Below are 11,917 nucleotides of genomic sequence, written 5' to 3' on the forward strand. Positions count from 1 at the left end.
ATATTTTTGCTAAAAAATAAAAAGCACTGTCAGTACTAATTAACTAACATTCCCATTTTACCCAAATCACAATCGTTTTTCAGAATTATTTGCATTTTATAAGTAATGCTTGCAAAATATTGTTGCCTTAAGTTTCAAAGTGAAAGAACGTAAAAATAGCATAATTTTAGACATAGAAATACTATTTTTATTTATATTATGCAATAACAGAGGAAGGTGTCTCACATATTCCTGATACAAACAGAGGAGTGACTCGAGAGCCTTTGTTATTGTGGGAAATAAGACTTAGTGGAATGGGCCTGTAATCCCAGCATTTTGGGAGGCCGAGGTGGTTGGATCACTTAAGGTCAGGAGTTCGAGACCAACCTGGCCAATACGGTGAAAACCTGCCTCTACTAAAAATACAAAAATTAGCCAGGCATGGTGGTGGGAGCCTATAGTCCCAGCTACTTGGGAAGCTGAGGCAGGAGAATTGCTTGAACCCATGAGGCAGAGGTTGCAGTGAGCCAGGATTGTGCCACTGCACTCCAGCCTGGGCCACAGAGCAAGACTCTATCAAAAAAAAAAAAAAAAAAAAGAAAGAAATACTTACTGGAATGGATAAAGAAGGCCCTGTGCATTATATTATAGTAGCAGAAGATGTTTTGAAAGACATACAAGCTCATTGAAAAAAGTGACTGATGAATAGATGCTATAAAAATTGTCTTTAAAAATCCCAATCTATATGTAGAATTTTCAATGTTTAATAAAGAAAAACAGGTTATTCTGTATAACACAAAGGGATCAAGCAAATCAAATTTGCAAACATAGAAGAAAAAAATCAGAAACACATTTTAAGGCAATAGTAGACATTTCACAGAAAAGAAGCCATACTTGGTCAGAATGGAAGGGTTGTCATCTTCAGCAGGATTAGGAAAAAGTGCAAATAAAAATCTACAGAAAGATATCCATTTTCACTGACAGGTTGGACAAAAATTAAACTGTCCGTCAGAAACAGATGTTTGTGAGAACATGAGAGCATGGGGCAGAGGGAATAAAACACTTTGGGGATATATTGATGTGATTTAAATATGTATCTTGTGACCGAACACTTCCACTCCTGAGTATACAACCCTGACTACCTTTTATTGAAATGCAGTGAGAGACATGGACAAGCATCGTCAAACCAGCATCAGCTATTATTATTTTAGGGAAGAAAAGTAAAAATGACATAGCTGTGGAAATACTAGAGAACTCATAAGTGTGTTCTATTCATATGAGGGAATATTATATTTTGGTAATTATCACATCGGCTATTATATGAAATTGGAGTTATAAGCATAACATTGAGTAAAATAAATGAAATTGGTATACATTTGACATAGTTTGGATCTGTGTCCTCACCCAAATCTCATGTTCAACTGTAATCCCCAATGTTGTAGGTGGGGCCTGGTGGAAGGTGATTGGATCATGGGAGTGGATCCTTCGAGAATGGTTTAGCACCATCCCTTTGGTGTTGTTCTCATGGTAGAGTTCTCATGAGGTCTTGTAGTTTTAAAGTGTGTAGCTCCTTCTCCCTCTCTGTCTCTCTTAGTCCTGCTCCTGCTGTGTGAGACACCTGCTCTCGCTTTACTTCTGCCATGAGTAAAAGCTCCTTGAGGCCTCCCCAGAAGCAGATGCTGCCATGCTTCTTGTACAGCCTGCAGAAACATAAGCCAATTAAACCTTTTTTCTCATACATTACCCAGTCTCAGGTATTTCTTTATAGCAATGTGAGAATGGACTAATATAGGGTTTCTATCTAGTAAGGTAAATTTACATAAAATTCAAATCCAAAGCCAAATTACAGGTATAATTTTTGAAGATACACCCATAAATCCAGCAATCCTAACCAAGAGAAAAGAACCAATGGACAAACTTTTCTCACTTTCATTGGGAGGCCTTCATGGGAAGGGCCCCATAAATACTGCTAATAGTCTATTCTTCAATGTCTTGTTTTAGGTATAACAGTGTCAATGTGACTAGGTTTTACATATATTATATATTTCATATATCATTTCACATATGTGAATACTTTAAATATAGTTAATATTCATATGTATTTCATTACATATTTACCCACTTCTTCTTCACTCCCAGTTTCAGGGCTTTGAGTGGAGCTGACCCTACTTCAGAGACCCTGGGAATGTACATAACCCAGGGCTAATTCAACCAAAGCACCAGATCCCATTTAATCAATAACAAGCTCTGTCCATAGGAGTGATCCAAGTTGATCCAAGAGTGAATCCCAAAATTTTGCCAAGATGCTTAAGGAAGAAAATCTTTTCCACCAGGTTTACTTTTCCTAAGCTCCTGGTGAACAACTTGTCCCCATCTCCAAGGGAAAAACCTGGCTATGCTTGAAGCTGATACAAGAAAAAGTAAATACCAATTTGAAGACTCTGGCATATTTTATTAGACGGACAGCATCATTCCTAGAATTTCTCATATACAAGTCAATACTCTCTCTCTCTCTTTTTTTTTCACTTTCTGTTCACTAGTTTGAGTTCAGTTTTTCATGCCTGCATGAAAAACAGCCTTGACTTGTGCTAAATGTTATGTTATTATGAATATTATGTTATACTCATTGCTCCATAGCAAGGCTGTGCTTAAGATGACACATGATCAATATCAGTCACCTGAAGCAATAAGACACTGTAGCACTTTACCTGCTCCATATCGTTTATTCTGTAATTGATGAAATATTTCAAACCAGTAGAAATAATTTTAAATACATGCTGCTGTTGGCACATTTAATAATTCACGCTACCACTAAAGTAAAAGAGGATCTTTCCCTCTGAGATGCCACATCCGCTCAGAAGGTTCCCCATGGTGAGGACAGCAATAATACATGAAGGCATTTAATCTATAAAGGTATTTATTTCAAGATCGCTTAATTCACATTTTGATGGCAAGTGGAATCTTGGCACATGTATTAATACTAGTGCCAGACCTTTGGTGAGGTCCAGTTTGTCAACTGATAAGACAATGATGAAATTCAGATATAATAGGGATTCTGTGAGTAGGAACAGGTGTGGGCTTGTTCAAAAACCACAAGTATGTGATCAAATTGGAAAAGCTCAAGTAAGCAAATGAAAGGGAATTTAATAACAAGATTGATGAGACCGAAGATGAATTTAAACATCATGTCTTAAAGATTTTTTTTAGATTAAAATATCAAAGAAGAAAACGTGAAAATGTTAACAATTTACTACGGTGACCACTTTTCTAACTAATTGAGAGCCTGGTTCAGGTGGTAATTGTGATCACTTCAGTTACTTATGTGAACCTCAAATATCTGAGTTGGTAGGTCTCAGTTAATTTAGAAAGTTGACTTTGCCAAGCTTAAGGATGCACACCATTGACGCAACCTCAGAAAGTCCTGACGACATGTGCCAAAGGTGGTCAGAGCACATTTTGTTTTATATATTTTAGGGAGAAATGAGACATCAATCAATATATGTAAGATGTACATTGGTTCTGTCCAGAAAGGCGGGACAACTCAAGCAGAGAGGGGGCTTCCAGGTTACGGGTGGGTGAGAGACAAACGGCGTTTGCATTCTTTTGAGTTTCTGATTGGCCTTTCCAAAGGAGGCAGTCAGATATATATTTATCTCAGTGAGCAGAGGGGTGAGTTTGAATAGAATGGGAAGCAGGTTGGCCCTAAGCAGTTCCTAGCTTGACTTTTCCCTTTAGCTTAGTGATTTCGCGACCCCAAGATTTATTTTCCTTTCACATTTATCAGTAAACATTAATTCCTTTTAAGACGTATTTGTCAGAGTGAGGCAGAGAAAGAGAAGCAATAGTATGTGTACACCTTTCTTTATGCAATAAATGTGACTTGCTTAATTGGGTACCAATACTAAGATTATGAAAAAGAAGATCAGGTTACAAAAGCTAGAGGAGGAAGATGGGGGAGAAAATAGACTCCTATCACAGAGAAAATCAATTCCCAGGAAATCAAAATGTGAAATGCAAAACTATAAAGCATCTAGAACTTTATGATGCAATAGGATACCCACTCACCTTGTATGGCAATTCAAATGTAAATTAACCAACATTAAACAAAATTAGCAAAAGAAAGTTGCATTCTCATCTTCACTAGCCCCACTGAAGTTCTTATAGCCTTATGTAGTAAACACTACTGTATTCATAACGAAGATTAGGACATTTTCATTATTTTAGAACTTTCTGTTGGACAGTGGTCATTTATAAAATAATATAGAATTTTTTAAAATTCAGAGATAGGGTCTTACTGTATTACCCAGGCTGGGCTTGAACTCTTGGGCTCAAGTGATCCTCTCTTCTCAGCCACCTAAGCAGCTGGGATTACAGGTGTGTACCACTACTCCTAGCTTTACAGAATACTTTTAGAAATTCAGGGTAAAGTGAGATATTTAGGCAGGACACAAAAGTGCAAAATATTGGAAAAGCATTGATAAATTTGAGGGTATCACATTTCAGACCTTGTCTTTGCCAAATATGATCTTAAAGAGAGGGAAACATAACCATGTAGTGAGATAAAGCTTTTGGTACACATACACCGAACAGATGGCTTATGAAGACTGTCTTCAAAGCGAGAAGAAGAAAGACGCACTGCTCGAAAAAATTCGAAATAATCAGGAACTTTATAAAAGGGAACACTAGAATGACCATGAACTTATCAAAAGGCAGTCCAGTTCATAGCAAATGGGAGAAAACAATTTATAACATCAATGAGGAACAACATCTACAACCCTAAAGAGAAATAGTTTGACAGCACCAAGTGCTGTCAAGTATATGGGAAAAGGGAACTTCCATGGACTTCTATGGTGCCTAACTTTGAAAAACAATTTGGCATTTTCTCATACTCATATCACCCAGAATTTCCATGCCTGAGTATACGTTAAACTGAAATGATTGCATTATATGTACCAAGAAATATACACAATGTATTCGTGGCAGGTTGTTTGTTTGGTTGGGTGGTTGGTTGGTTTGGTTTGGTTTTTTGTTTTTTTTGAGATGGAGTCTCGCTCTGTCACCCAGGCTGCAGTGCAGTGGCGCGATCTCGGCTCACTGCAACCTCCGCCTCCTGGATTCAAGCAATTCTCCTGCCTCAGCCTCCCGAGTAGCTGGGACTACAGGTGCCCACCACCATGCCCGGCTAATTTTTGTACTTTTAGTAGAGACGGGGTTTCACCATGTTGGCCGGGCTGGTCTCAAACTTTGACCTCAGGTGATCTGCCTGCCCTGGCTTCCCAAAGTGCTGGGATTACAGGCATTAAAGTGTCATGGTTTCAATAAAATGTAACACCATAATTGTGTTCAAAGTAAAAACAAGCCAATATTTCCTTGATATTTTACTCATAAGTGCATTTATATTCTTAAGCAATGGCCAGAAATCAGAGGCCTGATGTCTGAGCATAAGATTTTAAAAGTAAATACTTCCCCAAAATTATCATTGCGTCTTAAAATTGCAGTGATTCAAATTGTTAATTCAACATTCAGGAAAAGAGGGAAAAAAAACAAGTACCGCGCAGCTGAATCTCCAAAATGGGGTGTGTTTGATGTGGGAAAACTAGATGTATGTTAACTGTGTGAAAATACCCATTGAAGAGTTTCTGTTAAAGCAGCTGTTATATTTGAGACACAGGGTTTCTGCATCTTAAGTGGACCTCTTCCTTTTATAAAGTAAGTGAAATACAACTACCCATGACACCTTGATTGAAGGGTTTCAGAAGCTAATTAAAGAGGCATCTAAAAGTATTTCTTAAACTTGCCAAATATGACCCTCTGACATGGGAGTTTTCCTAGGAGAATTATCCACTGACTGCCTCCCAAAATTAAGAAAATGCATTGTCAATCCTCCACGGAGGGCCTGCTAATTAAAATGCTGATTTCAGGAGAGATGGAAGCTCTGTATTTTCTACTTAGAGTAGTGTCGGGTGAGCCAGCCACATTTGACAGTATTAAATTGTTAAGTAAGAAAAAAAAAATTATCCAGGAACCTATGAAGAGCCAAATAGAGCTACTTCATTAATTGATACTTAATCTTCTTAGTCCTTTAGTAAATCTGAAACAAGATAAGGGGGGCACAAATCAAATGAAGAGTGGAGATAAATAAAAAGAGAGGTGGGATGGCTAGAGCCTTGGCAGAAGGCAATGCAAAATGGTGCTGATACCAACTTTAGTCATGTGTCTTGCTGGATAACTCAGTTTTCTTTTAGAATTGGAAAGAATCTGAAAATTTAGCTCCTACACACGTGGGATTTTCACAGAATACTCTACAGGAAAAAAAGCAAAATCATCAAATAAATACAACCCAGGTTCCAAGAAATAATGGATTCAATTCAGGAAACAGTGAAGGTAAGCTTTAGGATGGCAAATTGTCTGAAGAAAAAATCAGTTCAGACTGGAAAAAGAGGATAATTATTATTGAGAAGTAAATACTTGAGAATTTAGAAGAATTTCCAATAGCACTCAATAAGAATTATTCTGTGAAAACCCCATGTGTTTAGGAGCTAAATTTTCAGATTCTTTCCATTTCTCAACACAACCTCTAATCTGTGCATCATAACATTGCAGTGATTCAATTTCTAATACATGGTAGATAATTGGTAAACATTGCTACTAACAACATTAATTTGGCACTCAGGGCACCATGTTGGTTAATGCCCTACTCTAGACTTTTTCAACTCTAATATCGTTGACACACTTCCAAACACTGTAATCACATAGTCATTTTTCAGCACTCTGGGGCTTTTTGCTTAGACATGATAGATCCAGTGTCTACTCTTTCATATGGTCACAGAGCAAAGTATTTCCATGTTCTATTAGACCTGTCATCCTTTTTCTGCACAGTCTGCAGGTTATTGTATGCATCTCACCACTTACTAGCATAAAACATTTCTAAAGTAGATCGAGAAGTCAGTAAGCTTCAAGAAAAGTGATTCGTTCTCAACAATAGATCACGTATTGGTTTGTACAAACTAATCAATCACTTTCTTGGTTTGTCCAGTAAGTGAATTGACCAAAACAACATGCAGGGATTCTTATAGTCAAATGCAACAGTTAATTCTCAATGTTCCTCGTTTAAGTATTAGTTATGGATGCATTGCCAATGTAAGTTGTCTGATTATGTCAGGGGAAAACTACCTATTTAATACATTTGACCAAGTCCTGACAGGTGTCCTTTAAAAGTGGGACCTATTAAGTGCAGTAGGAATTTGGGATTAGTGCAGAGAGCAGACATACTTTTCCTGCTGCTAGAGATCATTCAAATTCTCTTTGATTTCAGTGCTGATGTTTGGGTTTCATAATCTTGAATGTCCCTGGACAATGGTTCAGGCAATTATTGTGGTGGTAATACTCTTGTCTTTTGTTCAGCTTTATTCTTAGTATTTAGAAGACTAAACCACCACACCCAGCTCATTTAGGGTTGCACCAAGGAACAGTACATTTTCCTTTTAATGCAATACCTTCTAATTAATGGGAGGAATGGTGATGGAAGTGGGGCCTGGAGATGTACCCAAGTGACAGATATCTTTAAAAGACTGTGGATTTCCTCTAAGTCAAGTTCTCATGCACTTTGATCCTCATGTGTATTGAACTTTGAATGAGTCCCCTATACCAGTTGTCTAACCATCATTATAATCATAATAGCACACTGAACACTTGTGATATATCACGGACTGTTATATAACCCACCTAGTTCTTACAAAAATCATGAGTAGGTAATTATTTTTTCCTTTTATGCAGAATTATGTCAACAAAGCAATGCAACAGATGTACCTGAATCAAAATCCTATCTTCTTCCCTCTACAGACCCTTTCTTGCTTTGAAATCAGGAAATGACTTTAAACTTACCTTTACTACTTGCTCCAGACAAGACTTCTACTCTCTCTCCTCTAGAGCCGTAATTATGTGAAAATGAACAAACAAACAAAAATAAACAGTAAAAACAAGTTACCATGAGTGGGTACTTTGAAAAATAACATAAATATATTATCTACTGTGAATTCTACTTTTCATAAATCCCTGTACTCTGAGGGCCATTCACTTTCATCTTTATGCATGCTCCCTTCTGAAAAAATGATTGCATAATTCATACTTAACAATATATCTTCTCCCTGTTCCATCATCTCCCATGTCTCACTTTTTTACTTTGGTATTAGACTTTTTTTTGGTCCGCAACCCTACTGAATGGTCTACTCCACAGCATTCAATGTTGCCCAGGCTGGAGTGCAGTGGCACGATCTTGATTCACTCCAACCTCCACCTCTTGGGTCCAAGGGATTCTCCTGCCTCAGACTCCTAAGTAGCTAGTACTACAGACACCAGCCACCATGCCCAACTCATTTTTTGTATCTTAGTAGAGACAGGGTTTCACCATGTTGCCCAGGGTGGCCTCAAGTGATCTGCCCACCTCAGCCTCCCAAAGTACTGGGATTACAGGTGTGAGCCATCACACCTGGCCGCATTTAATGTTCTGACTTCTCTTTATGCTGTTGTGCTGTTGGCCTTTTAATATTATACATTTCTTTTTAATATTATTTTTAACTGACAAATGAGGAAAAATTTATTTAATGATGGAGTACAACACAGTGCTTTGATATGTGTGTACATTGTGAAATTATTAAATCAAGCTAATTAGTATAGCCATCACCTCACAGAGTTACTTTTTTTGTGATGGGGACATTTAAAATCTACTCCTAGTAATTTTCAAGAATACGATACATTATTATTAACAATAGTCACTATACTGTACAATAGATCGCCAGAAATTATTTACCGTATCTAACTTTGTATCATTCAACCAATATTCTTATAACTTTGTGTCCTTTAACTGTGTACATTATACTTGATAACTTTGTTTCCTTTAATCAATATCTTTGATAACTCTGTTTCCTTTAACCAATACCCTTGATAACTCTGTATCCTTTAATCAACACCCTTGATAACTTTGTTTTCTTTAACCAATATACTTGATAACTCTGTTTCCTTTAACCAATACTCTTGATAACTCTGTGTCCTTTAATCAATACCCTTGATAACTTTGTTTCCTTTAACCAATAGCCTTGATAACTTTGTATCCTTTGACCAATATTCTTGATAACTTTGTTTCCTTTAACCAATATCTCCCCATCATCTCCTCCCCTGCTCCAGCCCAGTAACTACCATTCAATTCTCTGCTTCTATGAGTTTGATTTTTTTTTTTTAAGATTCCACAAACAGGTGAGATCACAGGGCATTTGTCTTTCTGTGTTTGGCTTACTTCACTAAGCATAATGTCCTAATGTTTTCCAGTTCCTCCATGTTTCTTTGTCTCTTAAACACCGTCTTCTCAACCGCTAAGGGCAGCCTCATTGATTGGAGATGTGGCCAATGAAGAAAGTTTCCAAGCTGTTCCACATTCTAGAACTGTGGCTGTTTGGCAGTTTGTATGGAAATCAAATCTGCATTCCTTTCTCGTGCATGAATAAGATGAAAGGCAGGGGAAGGTAAAGCATGGTAAAACATGGCTATGCTGCTTGGGGCTTAAATTACTCTCATTCTCCATTTTCCCAGGCAAAATTCTCCTCTCCTACTTCTGTTATGTTCTTTTCACTTTTTACCCTTTTACAGGAAGATTCTGTAACTATTTCAAGGCAATTATACTTTCAGTGTCATTTTATTGCAATTTGCTAGAGATGGGTACATATGGTGATTTAAAATCTGAAACTACTCTGACCCTAGCCGCATCTGGTCAGCGCAAGTGTTTCATAAGGACATTCCAGTTGTTTTGGAATAATACATTTGGGGCAATTCCTAAATCACAGGTTGCTTTAAGGCCACCTCTTCAGATAATAGCCTTCTTGAAATTGCATGAAAAAATATAGTATATTCGTCTCTTGGGTCAAGTTCTCGCCATGTGTTCGAAAATCATTTTGTGTTGCTTCTTATTCTAGCCAGTGAGGTTTTAAAGGAGGAGTAAACTGTGGAAGTTTGAGTATCCCATATTACATTATTTTCATTGTTTTGTTTTTGTAGAATGGGAAACCATGTAATCATCCGTTACAAAGTGTTTATGCTATTTAAATATCCAAAACAGTAAAACTTGATAGAAGTAATGGAAAATAGAAGCATTTGGCATTTTCCCATTGTGACGGTGCATGTAAAGGAGAAATTATAAAAATTGAATAAAAATCTCATTATCGTCAAGGATCTATTTTTTCCTAAATAATCCTCTTCAGTGAAGAAAATATTTCCCATGCTAACGGAAAAGAAAATGGGTGACAGGAAATCACAAGTGAACATTCAGCTTTACCTACCAACATGATTAGATTTGAAATACAGAAAATGTTTTCATTCAGTACCAGAATTCAAATTAGATTTTCACGGTAACCAGGAAACTCATTATCAGTTTCGTTAGAATCTTAGTAGTATAGGAAGAGTCATTATTTCAAATAGAATTTCCTTGCAACTTACATGAACTTTGGGACTATGCATACATAAGTTTAAGTTTAAGATGGTCTACTGTTGTCAAAATTAATTATTATTAATTAATAATAGTAATATATGCCACATATGCACTGGGTGACGGTCCAAAGGAAAAAAATATTGGGAGGTGGTTGTCAATTTTCTGTATGGCTGTGGAGGCTGATAATTCTTCACACCTATCGATGTGCAGTCATTCAAAATCTGTGGCATTAAGCTGGGTTTTCCTTAGACCTAGCTGTGTCTGACTCCTTCATCACTTGTGGTTTTATGGCCAGTGTCCCCTCTTTCCTAAGAGAAGTTTATGTACAAACGGTTTGCTTCAGATTTTTTTTTTATTTTTTGCAGTCTCTGCTCTCCAATAGGTTTAGCAAAGCTATCATGATATAACTGATCAACTCAGAAGAACAAATGGCTTACACAATTTTCTATCTGAACAGGAATCATCACTTCTGCAAGAGACTTTAAATAAAAATATGTAACAAAATTTCTGTATATGAGATAATTGTATAAATGTGTATGTATGTGTGTATCTGTTTCTATATATGTGTGTGTGTGTTTCACTATATTTAAAGGTATTAGAGGTGCTAAATATTTGGATAAAATCAATTTTGAATTTCGACTCAGTCAGTGATCTTGAGCTAGTTCCAAAATTTCTCTAAACATAATTAATTTCAATCTGCTCAATATATAGTCATTTTCAGAGATCTGCTGAGAGTTTAATATTCCATTTACTGGCATTTGGAGAGGATCTAGCTAATAGTAAGTCATCACATTAATTTAGCTATAATTATAACCTATGCTTATCATGGTAATCAATCACAATAACTTTATTCATAAAGTTGAGATCATCATCCTATATGTAACATTCTAGATGTAATCCCAACAGAACAAAATTACTCAAACGTGAAAAATAACTCTTAAAAATAATGTATTTTCAAGAGCAGACACAGCTTTAGGGTGTCTTCATTGTAGACTAAGTAGAATAGAGTGTTACAAAAGGCATTATAGATAGAATAAACTAACAACTTAAAGCTTTTAAACTGGGCTGACCCCAATTAAGATTAACCCTTTTATATAGAGAAAATTTGGACACCTGCCATAATTGCTTGAAGTTCCAAATCTTTATAACATTACGATTATTTTTACACACACACATGCAGAAATGTGAGGTGCTTTACGTACTGAAAGTAGTCTGATAATTTATATGATTCTTACTTGATTCAAAATTACTTAATGTCTTTTCTATTTTCTATCCAAAATTTGAGGCATCAGGGAAATTACATAACAGCAAAATAAACATTCTTTCTTTTCTTTTCTTTTCTTTTTTTTTTTTTTTTGAGATGGAGTCTTGCTCTGTCACCCAGGCTGGAATGCAGTTGCATGATCTCGGCTCACTGCAACCTCTGCCTCCCTGGTTCAAGCGATTCTCCTGCCTCAGCCT

This window comes from Homo sapiens, chromosome X (genome assembly GCF_000001405.40).
Source record: "Homo sapiens chromosome X, GRCh38.p14 Primary Assembly".
NCBI classification, from domain to species: domain Eukaryota; kingdom Metazoa; phylum Chordata; class Mammalia; order Primates; family Hominidae; genus Homo; species Homo sapiens.